We start from the raw sequence: 25,796 nt of genomic DNA on the forward strand, positions 1-25,796 counted from the left end.
GCCAGATGATTATAGATTTCAAACTTCATAGAAAATTGAAATTTCCCCCTTTTGTAGGGGGAATGTTTTGTTAATCTAGCATACACAGCCTATGTTTTCTATTCTTATTACTTTTAATAATAATTTTTTTCTTTTCTTTTTTTTCAGAGACAAGGTCTTTGTCTGTTGCTCAGGACGGAGTGTAGTGGTGCCATAGCACACTGTAATCTTGAATTTCTGGACTACTGGCATACACCACCATGCTTAGGTAATTGTTTCTTATTTTTTGTAGTGACAGGGTCTTACTATGTTGCCCAGGCTGGTCTCAAACTCCTGACCTCAGGTGATCCTCCCACCTTAGCCTCCCAAAATGCTAGGATTATAGGCATGAGCCACCATGCCCAGCCTACTTTTTTTTTTTTTTTTTTTTTTTGAGATAGAGTCTTGCTCTGCAGCCCAGGCTGGAGCGCAGTGGCTTCATCTCGGTTTACTGCAGCCTCCCGGGTTCAAGCGATTCTCCTGCGTCAACCCCCAGTTAACTGGGTCTACAGGCACCTACCACCACACTCAGCTAATTATTGTGGGTTTTTTTTTGGTTTTTTTTTGTTGTTGTTTGTTTGTTTTTTGTTTTGAGACGGAGTCTCACTCTGTTGCCCAGGCTGGAGTGCAATGGCACAATCTCGGCTCACTGCTACCTCTGTTTCCTGGGCTCAAACAATTCTCCTGCCTCAGCCTCCTGAGTAGCTGGGACCACAGGCACCAGCCACCACATCTGGCTAACTTTTGTATTTCGAGTAGAGATGGGGTTTCACCATGTTGGCCAGGCTGGTCTCGAACTCCTGACCTTGTAATACGACCGCCTCGGCTTCCCAAAGTGCTGGAATTACTGGCATGAGCCACCGTGCCCGGCCCACCAGCCTACTTTTAATGGTAATTTTGAAAATGACAGTTGACCTGGTAGCCTTTGGGGATGTTTGTGTTCCTCCTCCCAGCAAATCGCCTTCCATGGGCAACAGGCACTGCTCCTCTCTCATGTGTCAGAAAATCAGTCTGAAACTAGCTATCAAAGCATACAATAGTCTATCACGTTGACCATCACATTATTTGTTGTGACTTGGGAGAACTCCCCTGTTTTCTCAAATCCCTGTCTGCTAAGAATTAGGAACCATTTCTATATAATAAAAAACTATTGCTCACCAGAAAATATATTCTACTTTCCTGTGGAAGAAAACTTATGACATTGAACTTGATAAAAAGCCATTTTCACAAGCTCAAATAAAACCAGTCTTCTCCATCTCCCCTCCCACCTCTATTGGCTCAAGTATGAGCAACTGAAGGATACCACGCTGCAAAAGAGATGTTGGGCTTTAGGCTGAAGCAAATCTGGGCCAACCAGAGTTAATCAAATTCTTTATAAAAAAAATGAAGTGTGCCACTCTAACTTAGAAGTTTTGGAGAAACACTAACACATTTTTTTTTTTTTTTTGCTGATTTCTTGAATTAAAAAAAAAAAAAAAAAAACTACTGCTCCTTTCCTTTTGGGTAAGTGAGGAGGCAATAGGGTCTTGAGAATCACCAGGACAGCCAGACTCTGTTAGTTTACTTTCATGTGAATACATTAGGTTCTGAGTAGATAGGCAGAGCTACAATACACTGTGCCTAAAACATCACAGTGGAAAGGTGTGTGTGTGTTTGTTGGGGGTGGAGGTGCCTGGTCCTGAGATTTATCAAGCCTACCTTATGGGTACTGACTTGACTGGTTCATCTACTTTAGGTAAGATGAGAATATACTCCCCTGCCCCAAATTATATTTTATCCAGGTGCCCTGGTGTCTGACATTCCATCTGTAATCTTTCTTTCCTGCTTTTAAAATGAACATTCTCTTGGTTTGTGCAAAACACTAAACTACTTTATGAAGGCAGATACACTAATGTAGGAAACTGCTTTGTTTCCCATTGGTTGAAAAGGACTAGTGGAGCTGTAGGAAGCTTGGAAGTTCATCAGTGGGAATGGAGGGAGGCGGCCAAGAAGGTGAGGGGAAGGGGAAGGGCCACAGACAGATTTTGTCTACTTGGGAATTTTGAATGGGATTGACCCTGTCCACTCAGTAATAGTTAAAAATGAAACAAAACAAAAAACAAGGTTTTTGAGTGTTGTTTGAATCCAAGTGCACTATTTCAGTAGTGGAACTGGGCAAGACTTATAAAGCTGCCGTAGGGAAGGGTGATTAGGATTGCAACCATAAGCATGAGTTGTAAATCATGACATTTATTTGGGCACAGAAACCAGATCATTAATATTTGAGGAGCACCTTTCAAAACTCAAATTTAGAGGGCAGAAAACAGTGTTGGCTTTTTACACTATTTCTCTCTTTTTGAGGTAAGTCAGAGAGTTGAGTTATGAAGCATTAAAAGATCATTTTATTCCCATATTCAATTTTCTTCTTTTCACTTGGAGAAAACCTCTTAGGCTAAAGACCATTGGAAGTGGCCTCCATGTTTAACTCACTGGCCCCTAATTTCTGCTGGACCTTCATTTCAATCGACTGTGTTTCAGGAGGGAAGCGATTCTGGTGACCTCACTGTAGGGAGACAGGAGCCTCTGGCAAGTTACCAAACTGCCAGCCTATTCTACATGAGCAGAGCTCTTTGCTTTGGCAGAGGAAAGCAATGCTGTTGTAGGTCAACAGTCAAATGTGTCCCGGAAGTTGTTAAGTGTGTGGGGCATTCTAGCCACTGCTGCTGGTGGAGAGACCTGGCCATTGCCTGCATCTCACCTTCAGAATATGGCCCTGATTAAGCTCTGCAGGTAGAGTCCTGGTTTCTGAGAAGGGTACAGGGCCTGAGGACATGCTGGTATTTCTTCCTCACACTGCTGCTGAGGACACAGAGAAGGGTATTCTGGCCAAATTAGCCAGTTATTGGTTCCCCAGATAACTTTGGTTTTAGACACCTGACTTGACTCTGAGTGAGTGGGAGGCTGTTTTCTCTGACTGTTTTTGCATCTTGGCTTTCATGTCACTACATGAACATTCAGCCCACAAATTTCTGTTATCTAATCAGGTGCATCAGTCCGTGGTGGAGATGAGAGGGGAGGAACACCCCTCTGACTCAGATTTTGCACAAACAAAATTCAGTCTTGTTAGCAATGGCAGGAAGAGCACCCAGAGCTGCTCAGATCAGATCTTTCCCTGACAATCTGCAGGGCAGTGAAAGTGAGTGAGGAGTTTTTATGGCAAGATAAGCAATGCAAGGGCCCCAATTTGGTTACTAAATAAAATAAAATGTCAATATTTACACATGACCTTCAAGGCTCTTACACTCTTGCTTCCTTAATATTCAGTACAGACTACATTTTCTTTAGTCCGTTACCAACAGCTTGGAAATTCAGTTAGAGGACATAACCCAAGTGTTCTCCAAATGTTGCTTCCAAATGGTCATCTTGAAAAGTGCCATTTTAAGGCATGCAGTGTTTCTACACTGAGAGAGGGCTGTCACTCTGCCTACCCAACTGCAGGGGAATTATCCAAAGATTAAAACCACTGATGATAAAGATAGTGCCATGCAGCATATTTTAATTTGTTGATAATGAAAGCACAAGAGGCCTTTTTACAGGCTTCTTGAAGCCTTACTATTGTGTATTGCACATACAACCCCGGCTTGTGCGCTGACACAAACAAACGTGATCGTAACGGTTGAAATATAGTTAGAAACACAACTAAGAACATCTGTATTGTAAGCAGAAATAAATTAGAAATGCTGAAGTGTTTTGTAGCTGTGAAAATGAAGGAATTAAAAAAACCCACAGTACCTGGATTAAGCGGTTATAAATAACGCATAAAGCAAAAATCTCATTACCCCCAGTGTAAACTCCCCCAAATGAAATACATTTTATGAATGTAGTAACACTGTAATAACCAAAGCATTTGTTTTTCCCCACAAATTTTCCATTTCATAACTGTGAGATTGTTTGGATTTACAGGTTCGGGCCACAACATCCGTGACTTTACCGGTTTTGGTCTCTTCCTTGTAACTTTCGGCTCCAGGATGCTGCGCAGCTCCTCTCTGCACTATCTATCAGAACGTTGCTCTGCGTGCTTGAAAGTTTCGCCAAACAGAAGTACACAAAAACAAACAGAGGCGAAACACAAATCCCCTCAGCCCTGGAGGAAAAGGCCTTGAAGCTCTTCCAGTGCAGAGGCCACGCAGAGGACATGCTCCTACCTGTGCACATCGGCCACGCCTGGGGTGCCTCCTGGAGTCCAGGCTGCTGGCGATGGAATCCATCATGTTGCTGATGTCACTGTAAGTCGCAGCCCGCAGGCTGAGCTATGGGGCAGTTTGAGGGGCCAGAAGTTTTCTCCTGGATGTCATCTTCAGCATACCCAGGAACCAGAGAAAATGTAATTCTTCCCATGCCCATCTCACTCCTGCAGACTGGGGTCCCTCTTCAGTTTCTTTTTTTTTTTTTAATCATAAGCACATAGGCTCTGGGACATCATGGAACCCAGAAGCATGCTGAAAGGTGAAGCACAAGTCTAAAGTCTTGTTAGTTATGAAATCCAGCTTTCCTGGATTAGGCAAGGGGAAAACCACATATTTAAGATATACTAGGGCAAGAAGTAAAGCGGAGAGAGCTGACTCAATGAAATTTTGTGTATAATAGGAGCCATCCTATGTCTAATTGTCTCCTGTCTCAGAGACCTCATGATTATTTCTGAGCTTTAACCAATGAATTAATGTAGGTTCTGTCTGGCTCTTCTAACATCTTTGGAATGGTTCCTCAGTGAACCACAGCTATCCATAGAGATAACAACCTGAATCCAAGCCCAGTGCCCAATCAGGTGCTACTCTTACTTGCATGACTTGGTTCTATTCTTGCCCAGTCCCATTGGGATAACAGCGGTAGCTAAGCAGCTAAGCAGAGTGACCTCATTAGATTATCTTCTAGCATAAAATCACATGTTAACTCATTTTTGGACTCATAGTCAGAAACTTGTAATTTTTCTTCATTTTGCTATGCAGCTATTGCACAGTGGGGGAAATATGACTGGATAATGAGTCAAAAAGACTTGCTCTTACATTCCATCTTCCCCTTCATTGCCTGGGTGTCTTTGGACCAGTCAATCTTTGAGCCTCAGTTATCTAGAAAATGGGGACTCTACTACTTTATATTTTTTCTTTTAGTGGGACCTAGATAAGGTAATGTTAATAAAGGGGCTTTATTTATATATTGAATGGCATGATGTTACGATTACTAAAAGGAAATAGCTATTCTACTTACATTACAATGTGGTTTGAGAATCAAATTCAATGAAATATGTGAAGAGGACTTTGAAAAGTAGAAAGAGCTGAGCAATGCAAAATACATCACTGCACTTGAATGTAATGGCTGGTGTCATGTCAGCTGGATTAACTGTGGTCACCAGTTCTCATATACCCATTTGCTAGAGTAGCTCAGTCCTCTGGACTATGAAAGAGGGCACAGAAGCTACAGACACGAGATCTGGTACTATCTTTACCACTACATTTTTATTGTGAGCACCTCAATCATTTTGAGATATTTGTCTCATTTCTTTTACTTTGAATATGGAAAAACAACAGTCACCTCCTAATATGGCTGTTGGGAAAACATAACTGAAATGGATTCAGAAAATAGCCTTTAAGGACAAAGTTATGTGAAGGACATAAATTGTGCATGAACTCTTTCAGTAATGAATAGGCACATCTCCACATATCCCAGGATCTTAAGCTGATAATGTAACAACAAGAACCTATTGAATCAGGACAAGGTGATGATTCTGCTCCTGTGGCAATCTAGGTCTCAGAATCTGGTATGCAGGCAGGGTGTAAAGAGCAGATTGCATTTTCAAGAGAAAGGTTAAGCTTGAATGTTTTGGACAGGAGGTGATTAGATGCATTTTTAAAAAGTCCTTGAATTTACCTGATGATTTTTATGTCCTTGTGATGGTTGTAGCCCATTCCAGGATACGAATAAATTTAGCAACACAAAGAAGTTCATTTAAAAATCTTTCCCTCAGATGCTCCACTTCCTCTTCCTTCTAGCTTTCTCTTCTTCACTAATTTGCAACCCGCGAGGCTGCCCTTTTGATCACTGGCAGTCTAAGAATAGTGATAAGTGGCTTTTGAAAATGTTTTAAAACTTTTATAGGAGAGTGGTGGAAAGATGGAGGTTTCTAGAAAACCCTTAATAGAAGAGACCCATTTTATTTATTTATTTTTGGTTTTAAAGCATTATTTTATTTTGAATGAATTTTAGACTTTAAGAAATTGCAAAAACACTAGAAAGTGTTCCTTTAATCCCTTACCCTGCTTCCACTTATGTTGAATCTCTCTCATCATTTTAATTATCAAGAATAGGAAATTGACATCGGTACAATATTATTAACTAAGCTACAGACTTCATCTGATCTTTACCAGTTTTCCTGCAAATATCATTTTTCTCCCATCCAAGTACTAACGGGCCTAACCTTGCTTAGCTTCTAAGATCAGACAAGATTGGGTGCATTCAGGGTGGTATGGCCATAGACCCAAATATCATTTTTCTGCCTCAGGAGCCTATCCGGGACCCCGCATTGTATTGAGTTGTATTTCTCCCTAGTTGACTCCAATCTGTGACAGTTCCCTAGTCTTTCCTTATCCTTCATAACTTTGGCACTCTTTGAAGGATACTGATTGTTACCAGTGGAAGGTATCCGAGTTACTGGTGGCAAATCCATACAGGTCTGCAGCAACCTCAGTTCTTGCCCCCTCAGAAGAAAGAATTTGACTGAGGGGCATAAGGCAGAAAAAGAGATCAAGGCAACTTTCAGAGTAGGAGTGGGAGTTTATTTAAAAAGGCTTTAGAACAGGAAAGAAAGGAAAGTATGCTTGGAAGAGACCCAAGTGGGCATGTGAAGGTCAAGAGTAGTGTTTAACCTTGATCCTAAGACTTTATAGGCTGGCCTCTTTCCCATGATTCTTCCCTTAAAGTAGGCTGCCCTCATGCACAGAGCCCTCCTTACCCTTGGGAGATGAGCATGTGCACTGTGTTTAGGAAGTTGTATGCATGCCCATTAGAGGCTTTCTTCCCTTTTCTCATGGCGTGCCCTTGGAAGGTCATACCCTGCCATTTTATCTCCTAATGCGCATGTCTAGGAAGTTGTGTTTCCCTGGCACCTATACTCAGTTCACTCTTTAGTGCAACAGGTGTGGACCATCAGGAAAAGGCCTCTCCCTGGTGCTGGCTGCCAATTTATCACTTTTAGAGAGGCAATGTGATAACTGCCAAACCATCACCTGACATTTTTAGTGGGTGGGGGAAAAGCCCACTCCTGCCCTGCTTATGCCTGTCTACCTATAAATACACTGATTAGTAATTTGGTAGAATGTCCTTCACTTTAGGTTTGTCTAATGTTTTGTCATGATTAGAGTGAAGTCATGCCATTTTGGCAAGAATACCGCAGAAATGATACTGTATCCCTTTTCAGCACATCATGCCAAGGGATTCATGATGCTGATATATGACTTATTAATGGTGTTATTTATTTTGAGCACTCCATTAGGTTAGTGTCTGCTGTTTTCTCCATTATGAAACCACCTTTGCAAAAACTATAACAGTGAGAAAATTATGACAGTGAAAGGGATCTGATCTAACCAACCCCCATCTTGCTTTTAACCTCCAAAATGCCTTACTCATTTCTGGGCTTACGCCAAGTTAACTTTGGGAGAAATTTAGTTTATAGTTTAAAAGATTGTATCTGTTCCTCAAAACTAAACCACCTTTGTGTAAAGCTGATGAAAGATCACCAGGTTAGGAGGATGAGAGGAACCTGAATTCTGTTAACATGTAGATATAAATAATTACCAACCATTATTCCAGAGGTCACAAGATTTGCAACTTCCCAGTTGTTCCTGCAGATAACATGACTGTTGTAGAACTTAAGATTGGCCTTTTGAGATGCCTTTTCAGATTTTTGCGTTTCTGAAAATGGATGGCTCCACCCAGACCCACAAACTGGTCCTGCGGCTCCACCCAGAAGTGGACTTAGCAGCTCATGAAGACCATTTTCCACACCCCTATGATTGCACCCCCAATCAATCAGCAGCACCCATTCCCTAGCCACCCCCCTCTCCTAAACTATCTTTAAAAAACCATAGTCTCCAAATTTTCAGGGCGGTTGATTTGCGTAATAATAAAACTCTAGTCTCCTGTTTAGCCAGTTCTATATGTGTAAAACTTTCTCTATTGCAATTGCCCTGTCTTGATAAATTGGCTCTCTCTGGGGAGCAGGCTGGAAGAACCCATTGGGTGGTTACAACTCTGCCCCACAGGGTGACATCGAGGATGGGAACTGCATGCTAGAATGGTAGAGCAGGAATTTAGGAATTTGAGTCTCTGATGACACTGTTGAGCCACCCTACCGACCTGGCCTACCTACCTCTGGACTTCTTTGTATAAGATAAATAAACTTCTGCCTAGTGTAAACTGCTCTGATTTTGCTCTTTTTCCTTTTATAACGTAGCTGACTGATCCCTGATGCATACAGGGGGCAGAGGCTACTATAGTAGTTCAGGTAAAAGATAAGGAAGTTTGGATGAGGGTGGTGACAGTGAAGGTGATGAGAAGTAGGAGGAGTAAGGATGTATACTTTTTTTTTTTTTTTTTTTTGAAGCAGGGTTTTGCTCTTGTTGCCTAGGCTGGAGTGCAATGGTGTGATCTCTGCTCACTGCAACCTCCGCCTCCTGGGTTCAAGCTATTCTCCTGTCTCAGCCTCCCAAGTAGCTGGCATTATAGGCACCTGCCACCACGCCCAACTAATTTTTTGTATTTTTAGTAGAGATGGGGTTTCACTATGTTGGCCAGGCTGGTCCCGAACTCCTGACCTCAGGCGATCCGCCCACCTCAGCCTCCCAAAGCGCTGAGATTACAGGCATGAGCCACTGTGCCCAGCCGGATGTATACTTTTATTGTACAGCTGCCAGGATTTACTGATGGATCGATGATACGAGAAAGAAATGCACCTAGTTTGAACTGTAGGATTTTGGCTAACAACTGGTCAAATGGTGGTGTCATTTACAGAGATAGGGAACAGAGGAGGAAAAGCAGGTTTGTGAGGCTGGGTGTTCAGTTCATCAACTGAAGTGATTGCTTAAGCCTGCAGGCCATCAGAGCCTCCCTAGTCATAACATCTGAATTAATTGTAAGCCAGCAGAGCAATATATAATGATGTATGATCTAATATAGTCATATTAAGTGCATAACTTCAGAGATTGGAATACATTTTAAGGGACTTGTTTAAAGAACCTTATATTCTTTTATGGGTGTGTGAATTGATTATGAAAAAATTTATAAGGCAAATCAAACTTCAAACCTTCCTTATTTGGGAACTTGAAAAGGTCTGAAAACATCTCTCTCAGTATTTCAATTAGCCTCCTAAACTATTTACAGCTGCCTTTAATTCCTTCTAGAACAAGGCAGCGGATATGTGAGTACAGAATAAAATGAGACAAACACTTCAGGATCTCCTCTTATCCTGGATTCAGCAGCATCTTTTGTTCTAGCTCTCAACGCCTCAGTTAATGCTCAGTCTCCACATGTGCCAGGGGCTTTTCAGTTTATAATTCCCAAAAAAACATATGCTGGCTGGATTTGATCGCCTAAGAAAAAGCGAAAATAGTACTTATCTCTTTAGGATTCTGTAGTAATCAGACTAGGCTGTTGCATTGTTGAATTATGTGGGGTTTTCTAAGATCAAGTGTGCTTAGTGTAATTTGTGCTTCCTCATGTCTAGATAGCATAAGTTTTGAGTCTGGCATTACCATCTGGAAACCAGAATCAATTGCAGAGCTAAGAGTCTAACAACTCAATTTTTAAAATTTTATTTTTATTTTTGTTTTTATTTTATTTATTTATTAATTTTTTTGAGACAGAGTCTCACTCTGTCGCCCAGGCTGGGGTGCAGTGGTGCGATCTCGGCTCACTGCAGCCTCCATCTCCCGGGTTCAAGCAGTTCTCTGCCTCAGCTTACTGAGTAGCTGAGACTACAGGTGTGAGCCACCATGCCCCGCTAATTTTTATAGAGGCTGGGTTTTGCCATGTTGGCCAGGCTGGTCTTGAACTCCTGGCCTGAAGTGATCCACCTGCCTCAGCCTCTCAAAATGCTGGGATTATAGACTTGAGCCACCACGCCCAGCCATTTTAAAAGATATATTTTAAATAAAAAGTATTTTTGTGGGTACACAGTAGATATATATATTTATGGGGTACATGAGATGTTTTGATGTAAGCATGCAATGTGAAATAAGCACCTCATGGAGAATGGGGTTTCATCCCCTCAAGCATTTATCCTTTGAGTTACACACAATCCAGTTACATTCTTTATTTAAAAATATACTAGCAACCCAGTTTTAATCAATTTCTTGAATCCTATTTATTCCTTTTTATGACTCACTCCTGCCTTAGGACTTGTATGTTTGCAGTTCCCCTTGGCAGGAGCACTCTGTTCCTAGATCTCACCCAACTGGCTCCTTTTGCTGTTCAGGTCCCCATCCGAAGGTCACCTCCTCAGGAAGACCTCTTTAGTTATTCTAACCTAAATCAACCCCATCCGATATTATCACTTTCCTGTGCTTTATTTTCTTCAAAGCCCTCATCACTTTCTGAAATTATCTTGTTCTATTATTATTATCCTTATCAGTATATAGATGGCTAGATGGCTCCCTACCAACGAGAGTAAACATATGTTGAATTTTTCCTATATGCCTTACACAAATTGTACTTAATACAAAAGTCTGATAAGGACAGTTAACATTTATTGAGTACTTACTACTTGCTAAATGCTAGGCTAAGTACTTGCCCACACAAGTCCACATCTGTGTCATCTCATGCCTGGACTACAGCAGTGGCTTCCTAACTGGCCTCCCTCTTCCCGCTGCAGTCCGTGGCCCACATAGCAGCCAGCGCTTTTTCTAAAACGTTACTCAGGTTACATCAAGATCAGCTTTCAGCCTTGGGAATGCCTTCAGCCCTCTCACGTCCTAACAATGGCTTACAAGATCTCTGGGATCTGGCCGCCACAACCTGTTGGCCATGTGTCTAACCACACTCCTTCCCTTGCTCCCCTCTGGCCACAGGTTCCAAATCACACTTCCCCCAGACAGCCATCCATCCACATGGCTTCATTTGTCACTCATGTCTCTGCTGAAGTGTCACCTCCTCATAGAGGCCTTTCCTGACCGCCCCCCCCCCCTCACGCCATGTAAAAGAGCTCTCCAGTCTCTCTGTCCCCATATCATGATTTATTTCCCGTCACTCATCACTACCAAATGTTCTGTTACCGACTTTCCTTCCTTCGGGAAGTATTTGTTGAGTAGTTGCTAGATACTAGGCTCTGTTCTAGGTACTGGGTATACAGAAGGCAAGAAGATGGGCAAATCCCTCTTGACATGGAAATACGGGGGAGACATGCACTACACTCACTGGGGAGGTAGAATATACGATATACTAGATGGCTCTGGGCAAGACTAAAGCTGGACAGAAGGTAAGGGAGTGATGGGGCAGGAGAGGGAGAGTTCTATTGAAAATAGGGCAGTCGGGAGGCCTCGGGGAGACAGTGGATCGCCGTGCCAAGTGCTGAAGAGGTGAGGGGGTGAGCACCACGAATAAGTAGAGGGAAGGAGAGAACATCATGTGCAAAGGCTCTGAAGGGGAAACCTGTGGCTGCAGGGGGAACCAGGGGAGAGGAGGAGATGTGGCCAGAGAAGCGATGGGGGCACCAGACCACGGGACCTTCGCAAGTGCGCCAGCCTCAGCCTAGGTACTTTTCAGCGGAGAAGCAGCCTGAGCTGACTTACATTTTTACTGGGTCCCTCTGACCCTTGGGTGGAAAATAGACTTTAGGAGAGCAACGGTTGAAATAGAAAGTCCTGTTAGCCTGGGAAAGATCGGAGTGGCTAGGACCAGGGTGGCGGGGGTGGAGGTGGTGAAGAGTGATTGCAGTTTGGATATATTTTGAAGGTAGATCCTATGGATTGTATCAAGAAATTGAGAAATCGAGCATGAAAGGATGCCTCATTTCAGGGTTCTAAAGCCAGACCGCTGGAGAGATGCTGCAGTTGGAGAGAGGGTCAGACCTTAGCTGTCTTTGTGGAGCCTTTGTGGGTACTAGAAAAAGGTTCCCCCTTTGGGCTGAAGCTGTTTTGCCTCCATTCCTGGCCCTCAGCAGAAATCTTTATGCACAGTAGCAGGCAGTGACATTCATCAGGAGCTTTGGTTTGGGACATAAGTTTATATCCAATGAGATGCTGACTGGGCAGCTGGTTATGAGTTTGGAGCCCAAGGGGACAGATAGAACTACAGGCGTAAAGGCTATTTGTGAGCATTCCTGGCAGTTTTAGCTTTATATTTATTTATATGTGAGTTGCACTGTACATTACATATCCTTTATTCATCTGTTCATTGTCTCCTCCATCCTGATGTGAGCTGGAGGAGGACCGTGACCATGTCTGCATTTCCTAATTGGTTGTATTCCTAGACCTAGCACAGTGCTGTGCTGGCACCTGGGCACTTAATGAACATAGTTGAATGAATAAACTGGGGATGCCACTGCTTTATGCTTGTCCTGTGGCTTCATGAGGTTGAGTATGTGGCCAGCCCTGTATGCCAATTTGTATGCCAGATGGTCCCATTCTTATTCTATGTCCAAAGCCCAAAAAGAGCTTTTTTTAAAACCTCCACCACTTACTACCGTTTATCACATGGTTACCAAAAGGAAATTTCTGTTCAAAATGACTTTTCATTAATCAAGACTCCTTGCAGCTAAAACACACAATAAAAGGATGAGAAAATGAAGGAAAACAAAGCTTTTTTTAGATATCAGATACCTTTTATGGTGACTTCTTTTAACTTTTTCTTTGCTACACTGCAGGCAAATATTCTATTTCTATCTTATGAGATGGCATAAAGAGTGACTTTATTCAGCATTTCTGTTGCATTTAAACTCATGACTGGAGAAGAGAGATGCCTAGGGCCTCAGCATTTTTATTTGGAATGGTCAGAAATGGCTTTGTGCAAGAAGTGAGGTTTCAACTGACTTACGCATCAGTTAGCTAGTTCTGTATGATTGCAAACAATCCCACATTTAGTGGCTTAAAATAATAAGCACTTATTATTGCTCACAAGACTGTGGTTCAGCTGGGTGGTTTTTCTGGTGTTGCCTGGGCCCTCTCATCAGGTAGGGAACTCTGCTTATTGTGGCTGGGCTCACATATCTGGGGATCAGCTGGCTCTAGGCTGGTCTAGCATGGTCTTGGTTGGAGCATCCAGGTGCACATCCTGCAGTAGGCTGGACCAGGCTTGTTCACATGCCATTGGCAGGGTTCCAAGAACAAGACTGGGTAGACCCAAAGCTTCTTGAGGTCTCAGCTTGAAACTGGCATAGCATAACTTTGGCCACCTTGTATTGCTGAAAGCAAGTGGAGTGGAGACTCATTACTTGATGGAGGAGCTGCAAAGTCACATTGCAAAGAGTATAGGCAGAAAGAGGCCATTAGTTAGAAACATCGGCCGGGCGCGGTGGCTCACGCCTGTAATCCCAGCACTTTGGGAGGCCGAGGCAGGTGGATCACGAGGTCAGGATATCGAGACCCATCCTGGCTAACACGGTGAAACCCCGTCTCTACTAAAAATACAAAAAATTAGCCGGGCGTGGTGGCGGGTGCCTCTAGTCCCAGCTACTCGGGAGGCCGAGGCAGGAGAATGGCGGGAACCCGGGAGGCGGAGCTTGTAGTGAGCAGAGATTGCGCCACTGCACTCCAGCCTGGGCGACAGAGCGAGACTCTGTCTCAAAAAAAAAAAAAAAGAAACATCATTCTAATACATGGGCTTGAAGGAGAAGTGGGGTTTGGAAGGAGGACCTGAGGGAACTGTTGTGAATCTTCTTGGATCTACGGGAGAAATGGGCCTGGCCTTCCACTGACCTTCATCCTACCTCCCTATTGCCTGACAGACACATGAAGCATAGCTTCTCTACCAGCTGTAGGTTTTAACACTAGATCTGTTCTCTCTCTCTCTCTCTCTCTCTCAGAAAAGACAATCTCATTTGAAAGTACTTCTGTAATTGTTTTAAGATGTTTTCATAGAACTATACTAAAAGTTGTTTTGCAAAATGCCTCTCATCGACCCTTTTCTTGAACAGTTATCGTGATCATGTTGCTTTTTCCACAAATAATGATCATACCCTTCCCTTGTAGGATTACGCCCATACGTTGACCTGTGTTACTGAAAGAGAAAAGTTTATTGTACCCATCAAAGCTAGAGGGGCACGAGCCATTCTCGATTTTCCTGACAAGCTGAATTTTTCCACTTGTCCTGTCAAATACAGCACCCAGAAGATTCTGCTGGTACGAAACATTGGCAACAAAAATGCTGTATTTCACATCAAAACTTGTAGGTATGCATGCCTTTAGCTCTTGTTTTTGATTGATTATAGCTAAATCTAGTCAGCTCAAGTAATTTGCTACCATAACATTGGGGGGTGGAATTGCTTGTTACAGTCTTCAGTTGCAAAGCTGGGAGACCTCACTGATGTAGGGTAGACTTCCTCTTCATCCTCAGAGGAAACAAAAATTCAAGGTTTAATATCTTATATCCATATTATACTAAATCCTCTTTTTGGTTCTTCAAAATGCTGGATAAAAGTCCTTCTTTTAGTACAGAGAATGGCCCATGAGAATATAGAAATAAATTTGTCTTGACTGAGAATTTTTATAACTGGCTTGATTAGTTTTCTGTTGCCATTGTAACAAATTATCACAAACTCAGTAGCTTAAAACAACACAAATTTATTATCTTACTTTTCAGTGGGTCAGAAGTTGCACTGGGCTAAAATCAAAGTGAGAGCAGGGCTGCATTCCCTTCTGGAGGCTTGAGGGGAGAGTACATTTCTTTGCCTTTTCCAGTTTCTAGGGGCCGCCCACATTCCTTGGCTCATGGCCCTCAGTTTTCTTCTCTGAAAAATGGGGAAAAGTATACCAGCCACTTCATAAGGTTGTTGGGATAATCAACAGAAACTGCTGGTATATATCAAGTGCTATATAATCGGTGTTTGCTCTTTTCTTTTTCCTTCAAATGAGCTATGGCCAGTGTGGTAGACAGAATGATGGCTCTCCAGACATGTCCATATCCTAATCCCCAGAACCTGTGACTGTATCATGTTGTATGGCAAAGGGGAATTAATATTGCAGATATAATTAAATTTGCTGATCAGCTAATGTTAAAATTGGGAGATAATCCTGGATTCACTGGATGAGCCCAGTGTAACCAACAAGGGCTTTTAAAAATAGAAGAAGGAAGCAGAAGAGTTCAGCGTGGTGCGCTGTGAGAGGGACTCAATCTGCTGTTGCTGGCTTTGGAGGATGAGAAAACTGAGGGATAGAGAGGTCACATCATTTCCTGAAGAGCACAGAGCTAGTAAGTGATAGAGCTGGATTTTAATCTGAGTATTTGTGGACTAACCACAGTGTAGACACCATGGGACAGTATAAAGCAGGTGTCCCCAACCCCCAGGCCATGAACTGGTACCGGTCCAGTCCGTGGCCTTTTAGGAATCAGGCTGCACAGCAGGAGGTGAGTGGTGGACAAGAGAGCAAAGCTTTATCTGTATTTACAGCTGCTCCCCATCACTTGCGTTACCGCCTGAGCTCCGCCTCCTGTCAGATCAGCCGCGGCATTAGATTCTCATAGGAGCACACACCCTATTGTGAACTGTGCGTGTAAGAGATCTAGGTTGCATGCTCCTAATGCCCAGTGATCTGTCACTGTCTCCCATCACCCCCAGATGGGAACGTCTAGTTGCAGGAAAACAAGCTCAGGGCTTCCACTGATCTACATTATGGTGAGTTGTGTAATCATTTCATTATATATTACAATGTAATAAGATAGAAATAATGTGTGCAATAAATGTAATGTGCTTGAATCATCCTGAAAATATCCACCCCACCCCCAATCTGTGGAAAAATTGCCTTCCATGAAACTAGTCTCTGGTGCCAAAAAGGTTGGGGACTGCTGGTATAAGAATGATGAAACAACCCCATCTCTCAAGGACCTCTCTTATAAGATGGGAAAGAAGGATTTGTTTTGGGGCATGAGAGCAAGTGGCTGACCAGTGGGGTCTTAAAAAGAACAACCAGCTTGGGAAGACAGGAAGCAGGGGTTCAAGTTCTTTTCTATAAAAAGTGGTATGTATATACTGGATTTAAGTTCTGTTTTTAAAAAGTAGTGTGTATATACTGGATTTAAGTTCTCTTTCAGAAGGGCATTATCTGTGGCATCCTTTGCTGACTTAATGACTCATTTGTCCAAAAGGGATTAGAATTTGCTTCTACTTGATTCCCAAAAGTTAGGCTACCATGGAGTACTCTTTTGGTAATTTCCTGCCTTAGGAGTTCCTGGACTGATAGCTCATATGCAAATCCCACACCTTCATAAGACACAAGTTCAAGTTATGAATGTCCTAGAGAAACTTTGTTCCTTTAATTAAAAACTCAGATACACACTTTTTCTTTTGCTGATGGGAGTGTGTTTGGGGAGTCCTTCACATTTCTCAGGTTTATACGGGGATCTGGTACCAGTCCCCTAACTTGACCATTGTGAGGCCTTGTCTCCGGCTCCAGCAGGGCTATTAAAAACCCAGGCTTCTGGGCTACTGGGAACCCAGGGCAGTCCTATCATTAGCTCAGTGGCTTACTGCTGTGGTTCTTAGGTTCCTCTTTGTTTTGGAATGGTATGAGTTTTTCTTATTTTTGTGCATGCTCAGTTATGCATTTATTTACATTATCTTTTATCCAGTCTTTCTAGGTATTTTCTGGTGGGAGGGTTTTCAAGTGACCCACTTTGCCATACTGTGGGTAGCAGCACTGCCATATTGCCAGTTGAGGGCACATCCTTTGGGAGGGAATTTGTGTTTATTTCTCCAAGTACTCTAGGTGAATCACTCTCTCTGAACTATTTCGTGTAGATCCACATTTCTGTCTGATATCCTATTTCTCCTGGCTTAAAACTACCTTTAATATTTCTTGTAGCACAAGTCTACTGTAAATTCCCTGTTTTTGTTTATCTGGAAAAAAGTGTTTATTTTTCCTTCATTTTTGGAAGATTTTTTTTTTCACCATATAGAATTCTGGGCTAACAATTATATATAGATTTTTTTCCTCAGTACTTTAAATATGTCACTCAATTGTCCTTTGACTTACATTTTTCTAATGAGAAGTCTGCTGTGATTCTTATCTTTGTTCCTCTGTATGTAATTGTCTCTTTTTCTTGGGCTACTTGCTGATTTATTTGGTTTTTGCAGTTTGGAAATGATGTGTCTAGGTGTAAGTTTTGTTTATGTTTTGCTTTTTGTTTTAAAGATTTTGTTTTGCTTTTGCTTGGTTTGGGTTTTAATTTTGCTTGAGGTTCTCTGAGCTTCCTGAATCTTTCATTAATTTTGGAAAATCTCAGCTATTATCTCTCCAAATTTTTTTTTTGTTCTATCCTCTTTCACTTTTTCTTCTGCTTGCAGGAAAGTTCTGCCTGCCACAGGCGAAAGCCACAGTCTAAACCGTATGTGCATATCCCATCCCCCTCGGGGGAAATGGGTTGGTCTGTCTTTAGATTTCAGGCTATTTGATGTGCTACCTCTGCTCTCTGACAGGCACAAGAAAGGTTGTGATTTTGTTATTTATTTCACTTTTTCTTATGGTTAGGGTAAAAGAAACATTCTTTCCAGCTTTCTGCATTCTAGGTAGAAGCAAGATTCTAAACCACCTTAAATAAATCAACCACTAAAGGCAAAGGAAAAGTTCTTTTGGAACTCAGTGTCTCCAGACATTGGTCATAAATTCTCTACAGGCCTTGTTTGTCGTCTCATGGCAAACCTCACATATTTTGATGGAGGAGAAGGAAACAGGTTGTTCAGCTGGCTTCCCATGAATTAGAAATAACCCATCTTGGCCTGGCATGGTGGCTTATGCCTGTAATTTCAGCACTTTGGGAGGCCAAGGCGAGTGGAGCACTTGAGCCCAGGAGTTTGAGACCAGCTTGGGCAACATGGTAAAACCCCGTCTCTACAAAAAATACAAAAAACAAAAAAATAAGCTGGGTGTAGTGGTCCATACCTGCAGTTCCAGCTACTTGGGAGGCCAAGGTAAGAGGACTGGTTGAGCCCAGGAGCTCGAGGTTGCAGTGAGCCATGATCATGCCACTGCACTCCAGCCTGGGTGACAGAGAAAAACCATGTCTCAAAAAAAAAAAAAAAACCATCTTTTTCAATTGAAAAAATGGTCTCCCACAACCACCATTCACAATACCCATTAAAAACTGTTACAATGGTATTTCTTTTTTCTATGAAAAAAAGAATCTACCTAAGGTGGATATGCAAGTGCGGGAACATATCTTCCTGCGCTGTTTGGCTGAATTTGAAAAAAACCACGCCAAAATGGCAATTTCGTATATTTTAGATTCATGTAAATGTGAAGCAAAAATCACTTCACAGATTTAATAGTGTGAAGTTGCAAAAAAAATATAAAATCTTTCTATCCATCTACCTATGAATATGAATTATGTTTTCCTAATATAGAAACAATTCTAAGGTAAAATGGGAGGCAACTCAGGGACTGGCCAGGATTTGTCGGAGGCAACTCAGGGACTGGTCAGGATTTGTCAACAGTAGACATGCTGGCCCAGCATTGCCATTTTACTGTGAAGGGAGTAAAGCCTGAGGAGTTAAATGACTTACCCAAACTCCCCCAGGAAGTTAACATCAAAACCTGGATTCGTGCAAACATGGGCTAGCTCTGGGCTTGTTTGCCCTCAGGTACATGTCTCACCATTCCCCTGCGCTGCTGCTCAGTGTCCCTGTGGGGCTTCCTGAGCCTTCCTAGCCTCCTGGCTCAGCCAGATTCCAGCTAGGTTTGACCAGTCAGGGACACTAGCAGGAGACTGGAGAGTAGGAAGAAGGAAGAAGCCTCTTCCCTCTTTGTCTTCAGCAGAGTCCCCAGCCACCACTGCACCTCCTCCATGGTTCTAGCCACTGTCAGGCTGGCCTGCCACGGTTCTAACTTCTGCCAGGTGACCCTGGTCCCCAGGATCTGATAACACTTCCTCCTCTCCTTTTGCTTCCAGTCCAGGGGTGGAAAAAGCTTACCGCTGTTATGAATCTCGGAGCTGTCTCACCTTCTTCAGTTGGAGTTCTCACCTCTCCCATCTTCTGTGTAACCAAGTCTCTCAAATTCCCTGTTTGCAAATATTTTTGTTTTCCTGTTTAGACTCTTCATGAAATAATGGCTTTATGTTTTCTCCACAAAATGCATGTTTTTCAACTATCATTGATTCTGTGAATTGCCTCAAGTCCTTCCAGTCAGTCCCTTTTCTGTTTAAATTAGCCACAGCTGGCTTCTGTTGTTTGCAACTGAGAACGCTGATGGCTTCAATGAGAAAGAATGTGGTTGAATTTGTGGTCACATCATATTGAGTTAGAATCTCTAAGGAGATCCCCTGACAAGGATCCGTTCTAAAAACCACACAGATGTTTCTGTTCCTAGACAGTGTTCTTCAGTTAATATGGTTGTTAATAGACATGGTAGAGCAGCGGATATAGTTTGAGAATTTGGAGTCAAAAGCCCATGGTCCTCCCACTTTTAGTGTCAATATACAGCTAGAAATAATGTCCCACAGGAAATTGTTTAAAAAAACAGATCATCCTTTTCTCGTTGAAATAATGATTTTATTAGTGGTTAAGTTTATAAAATGCTTAGGTTCTTATAAATCACAAAAACTAAAACTTTCTTTGCATGTCTGTTACCCTTATTCGAATGTGAGCTTCTCAGATGGAAGGATTGTATCTAACTCTTTTCATTTGTATGTCCCCAGCATCTGTCTAGAATAAATAAACACCCAATAAATGTTTATAAGATGCCTAACCAACAATATATCACAAAGGCAAAACTACAACTATAAACCTCTACAATAAAATAAAATAAAACACATTCTCCAACTGCTATAAAATAAGCATAATAATTTTACACTAACAAAAGAGGCTGCAATGGGCTATAAAATGTACAGAGAACATAAGCAATTATTGTTAAATTTGACCTAAAACTCTAGTAGGTATCAGAATAACTTTGATGATTAAAGTAGGATTAACATTGGAAGGTGAAATAGAGAGGATTAAGAAGCAATTTCAAAATCTAAAAACTCAAGTAAGGAATTAAACAAGAAAGATCATCTGAAGAATAAATACTAATATTATATTCAATATTTAATATTGTAGGATCCATATTTAGTCTTCTGCTAAAATATTGAATCATTTGGATGGTTTTAGTTCTTAAGAAGAGCTCATAATTGATGGAACAAAAACTCAAATCTTTCTCATGGCTCATGATTTTTCACAAAACCAAACTCCCTCCATAATTGTTTGATATTAATCAAGATATGATATCAAAACCAAATATTTTGATAGACTGAACCATCCTTATACCCTTGAAGAACAACACCTTTTACTTCTTTGTAAGAGCATTTTCTGATACTTGATATTTTCTAGCCCGTTCAGCCTGTCTGCATTTTAGTAAAATGAAGTACAAAATCAAATTATAGACAATGTGTAACCACCAGAACTTAACACACTCTACCCAATTAACATCTGTTAGGCAGCTGTAAGTAGCAATGGCAATCCCAGGTGATTATAACTACTGAAGAAGTTTGTGTAACCTAAACCCAACGATTAGCACAAAGGCAAAGTAACCCTTACCACTCCGTGGAACTTGGATTCCTGGAGGTCTTACAGATGGGATACTAGTATCACTTTTTCTGTAAAAATTATTAATAGTTTAGGTACTGCAATATAATAATATCCAATTCATTTTAAAACTATTCTTTTGCTACCAAGAAATATTTGAAAATAAAATGAAAGTACAATGCAGGAAGAAAAATATTAGGAAGTAGGGAGGCAAAGGATAGAAGTAAATATGGTGGTGTTGTTCCTAAAGCCGGGAAACTGGGCCCAGTTCTCACTTCTTCCGATTCTCACTGAGGCCGTAAGGAAGGAAGAAACTTTGAGACTGGGAGACTCACCGTCACTTCCCACAAGGCACAGATTCTACTGAAGGTTTGCTCCTTCTCATTCCACCACGATGTCATAAACACTGATAGTTGATTACAAATATTTTTATTTACCTTTAAGAGTTTATTGTAATTCAATTAAGAACCTCTTCTGAGAGGCTCCTGAGTAAAGAACCATGTATGGGGTGATGAGTGACACAAAGATGACTCGTGATTGTGTTTTCCCTTCCCTCTCTTCTCAAGAGTTTCTAGCTATTGAGAGAGGCAGGCATGAAAACCAACTCAAGTACAAAGTAAACCACTGTATAAACTAAAAGGGAAGTTATAGTCTCTGAGAGGAAAGAGATACTATTCACAAAAGGGAGAATCAGGAAAGATTCTATTTAAGAGGTGACTTTGAGTCTGGGCTGTGAGAGGTGGCTTCAGAAGGAGTATGGCATGTGGGAAATGGCAAGTCACCTGATGTGATCCTAGCAGTTCCGATTGTCTATGTGGGGGCCACATTCTGGTGGGAAGAGAAAGCAGGTGCAGTGCTGGGGGAGGTTGTGGGTGAAGAGACTAAAGCCTGCCTCCCATCCCACCCCAGCACTGCCTTGGAACATGACAGGTGTATAGGATATTTGGACAGATGTATGTGTGTAATGAAAATGCAAAAACCTACTGGGAGCAGATTGTGTGGGACCTGAAATGCCTAGGAGTTTGAACTTGATTGCACAGGTGATGAGGACCGCTGAAGGTGTTTGAACAAGAGATTGATGTGTTATGACCTGTGTGTGTTTTTTACACTCTCTCTAGAGCAGTGTGAAGGAGTGAGGGGGGAATGATAAAAGCTTGAACTCATCGAAACACCCAAACACATCCACAGATTCATCACACAGCATCTAGAGGCTGCCAGTGAGGGAGATAAAAATAGCCATAACAAAAAGAATAATAAACACTTGTACAGCATTTCCTTTGTGCCAGGCATTATTCTAAGCACTTGACCTATATCAACCCCTTTAATCCTCACTATAACCATATGAAGTAGGTGCTATCATTACCCTCCTTTTACAGATAAGGAAACTGAAGGTTAGGTGACTTGCCCAAGGTTGTGGCAGAGCTGGGTTTTGAACTCATTCGGTTGGCTCCAGAGGTCAGGCTAGTAACCACTGCCCCAGAGTGCCTCTGCAGCAATGCCTGGGGTTCACTGGTGAATCAGTGCTACAGGTATGGGGACAGGAAAAAGGAAAGGAAGCAGGAAAATCAGGAAGTGAAAGGAGAGGAGATCCACTTATTCATGGGATCTAAAAATCAAAACAATTGAACTCACGGACATAGAGAGTAGAATGGTTACTGGAGGTGGGAAGGGTAGTGGGGGTTGGGTGGGGAGTTGGGGAAGGTTAATGGGTATTAAAAAATAGTTAGAAAAAATGAATAAGACTATTTGATAGCACAACAAGGTTACTATAGTCAATAACTTAATTGTACATTTTAAAATAGCTAAAAGAGTGTAATTGGATTGTTTGTAACACAAAGGACAAATGCTTGAGGGGATGGATATGCATTCTCCATGATGGGATTACTTCACAGTGCATGCCTGTATCAAAACATCTCACGTACCCCATAAATATATATACCTACTGTGTACCCACAAAAAGTAAATTTTTTTTTAAACTTAAAAAAAGAAAAGAGAGGAGATCAAGTAGAAAGTACCAGAGAAAATAACCAATTGCTCACAGTAGGGAGCACCTGAGGTCCTGTAGTAATACTCTCAGATGCCACCCAGTGCTACCCCTGACATAAACTCTGTATCCTTATAGCAGAAAGCTTAGATTTTCTGAAACTGAGTTCATCATCTAAGGGAAGATTTAAGGAATGACAGCTCTAAGAACTGTTGTGATCGAAGTAAATAATCAGAAACAGCTCGGTCTGCCAGATGCATTACACAACACATTACTTTGAAAAACTAGCAATTTAAAGAAGTGAAATGGACCATGAAAATAATTAAATGGGCTGGGTTTCCTATTTAGGAAGAACTCTCTAAGTTATTTAAGGTATTTCACCATCAGATCCAGCTTCCCTCTTACTATTCTCTTCCAAAACAATTAAACTATTTCCTGTTTCCAAATCAACCCTCACTCCCCACAATGTCTGCATCCCAAATTATATTTTCAAGACACAGAATTTGTCCTCAGTTTGCCTTTTCAAATGCACTCTCCACCCTTCTTCAGTTTGCTCTAGCCCCGGAGGCTGGCTTCTACAGCCTGGGTCAACAGCCCTCGACTCGCATTTCTGGCTCTGGTTGTGTTCACCCAGTGAGGGTCTGGTAGACAATGAGATGGGAGGGGATGTGAGGTCAGGATATTTTTTCCCCATTGTCTTCCCCGGGAGACCACCTGGGCTGCTGTCTCCCTTGGCTACGTCTCCTTGCTCCCCATAAGGCAGCCTTCTCTTAGGCCTCTCCTTGCGGTTTTAAAAACCATGCCTTCTCTCCATGGCTCTTTTGTGGCAGCGCTACTGTTACCACCTGGGCTATTGCATCATCTCCTGTAGTTCCTCTACACCCCTCCCACCCTTTTAATATAGACCCTCTGTTCATCTGTCCTGAATTATCCTAAGGCAAGTGAGGGTGCTATCCCTTTCCTTTTGGGGCTCAGATATATTTTTCCACTATGATGCCCTCTCTCCTGTGAACTCTCGCAAAACTCGATTTTTATCCCTTTGAAGGCACTGTTCTTTTGAAAATGACAATATTTGCATACATATTTTAAGTCTGTTCCTTACAGCAATCTCAGTGTTTGAGGACAAAGGCTGGATTTTATTCATTTGCAGTCACCCTAACTTGAGTGCCTGAGCCCAGCGGGGATACTCAATGAATGTTAAAAGCAGGGCTGAATGGCAAGGACACAAACAAGAATATTGTTGCATTGTTTAAGTTGCCCTTACGATTGCTAATCTAATGCTGTCATTTTAACGTTAAAACTAAAGTTCTTTCACATTACGTAGCAAAAGTCTACTTCACTTCTAGATCATGAAATTGCAGTGCTGGGTCTGAGCTGTCTGCAGAACTAGAACTCCTGTCTCCTTTCCTCCCCATCTCACACTAGTCAGAAATATGCTCTGATGATGTGCCTCTCTGTGTGTTGCAGGCCTTTCTCTATAGAACCAGCTATTGGAACTCTTAATGTGGGAGAGTCCATGCAACTGGAAGTGGAGTTTGAGCCACAGAGTGTGGGCGATCACAGTGGAAGACTTATCGTGTGTTATGACACAGGTATGCAGTATTCTTTGTTAAAAGTTCTACATATTAAGAAAGGTCAGATGAGAATGTTCTCACTCATAAGTGGGAACCAAGCTACGAGGATGCAAAGGCATAAGAATGATACAATGCATTTTGTGGACTTGGGGGAGAGGGCAGGAGGAGGGTGAGGGATAAAAGACTACACACTGAGTACAGTGTACACTGCTTAGGAGATGGGTGCACCAAAATCTCAGAAATCACTACGAAAGAACTTATTCATGTAACTAAACACCACCTGTTCCTCCAAAAAACCACTGAAATTAAAAATAAATAAATAATAACAAAATCAATTTTAAAAAATTTAAAAAGGTCAGATGGGAAATATGATAAAGCTGAATAGGAAATGGTTATTTTGGCTGCATTCGAGTAAGCTAAGATCCACAAGATAAAAAAAAAAAAAAATGAATGCCTCCAGTAGAAATGATGTGGAGTCAGAAATCCCCCTAACTGGTGTCCCCAGTGCTTGAAAGCCTGAGGAATACAGGACTCAGGAAGGAGCCCATCCCCAGGAGCCACACTGGTGGATTGAGGTTGTCTGTATATTAAAATTTGCAGGTAATTTAATGCCCCATGGGTTTTCCATTTGACTTATTGTGATATTTGTCTAACATTTTAAAAATGTAAACCCCAATTCAGAATGTTCTTATATGTGCCCACTAGTCTATTAAGATCCGGTTACTTTAATCCTTAGAACATGCAAATATCCTACGTAACATCTTACAGGAATATAGGACTGTATCTGTTGCCACTAGTATTTTCTTGAAGGCCACACCCTCCATAATCACGAAAATTACACATTGTTGCAAATATTTAATTTATGGTCATGTAGATGGCATGTACATTATGCAGTCTCCAAAGTTGGCTTCCAAATTAATATTTTACATTGCCATTTATTATTTTATGCTTTTTCTCATTTCCTTCTCACTTCTGCTTCACCCATTCATGTTGATTGACCCAGATTATCTGCAGAAGGGCGTTGTAGGGAGAAAACAGAGGCGCACAGCCGGGGAAAGAGTAAGCTAAGATCCACAAGATGAAGAACCCACAGAAATGATGTGGAGTCAGATAGAAATCCAACCTAACTGGTGTCATTGATGCTTGAAAACTTGAGGAATGCAGGGCTCAGGAAAGAACCCATCCCTGGAAGTCACACTGGTAGATTGGGGTGATCTGTGTGTAGATAGAAACTTGAAGGTACACCCAGAGAAGGAGCAGCACAAGGCATCTAGAGTGTAGTTCAGAGTTGCTGGCTTTGTGGACGTGTATTTGAGCAGGACGACTCAAGCCCTTGCCTTAGGTCCCATGGTTAAGTGGCCCTAGCTCCACATTGCTCAGCAGAACAATGCCACAGACCAGCCAGTGATGTGGTCTATCTGTTTTGTCTATTAGTTTTAGCCACACTCGTTGGCTGCTAGCAAGAGAAACTAGCTTAAGAAAA

General features: G+C 41.9%; 2 pseudogenes across 1 annotated transcript in view; one reads left to right on the forward strand and one right to left on the reverse strand.

Moving 5' to 3' along the window:
- The window catches only part of HYDIN2 (HYDIN axonemal central pair apparatus protein 2 (pseudogene)), a 335,703-nt pseudogene that overhangs the window by 46,806 nt on the left and 263,101 nt on the right, over positions 1-25,796 (forward strand). Inside the window, exons 9-12 of the transcript NR_103556.2 lie at positions 148-247; positions 3,961-4,283; positions 14,232-14,431; positions 24,207-24,331. The product of NR_103556.2 is annotated as an HYDIN axonemal central pair apparatus protein 2 (pseudogene) (transcript). The remainder of the gene's footprint in view (positions 1-147; positions 248-3,960; positions 4,284-14,231; positions 14,432-24,206; positions 24,332-25,796) is intronic.
- Positions 6,404-6,526, reverse strand: RNA5SP536 (RNA, 5S ribosomal pseudogene 536; annotated as a pseudogene).

Source organism: Homo sapiens, chromosome 1 (genome assembly GCF_000001405.40).
Source record: "Homo sapiens chromosome 1, GRCh38.p14 Primary Assembly".
In the NCBI taxonomy this organism is placed as follows: domain Eukaryota; kingdom Metazoa; phylum Chordata; class Mammalia; order Primates; family Hominidae; genus Homo; species Homo sapiens.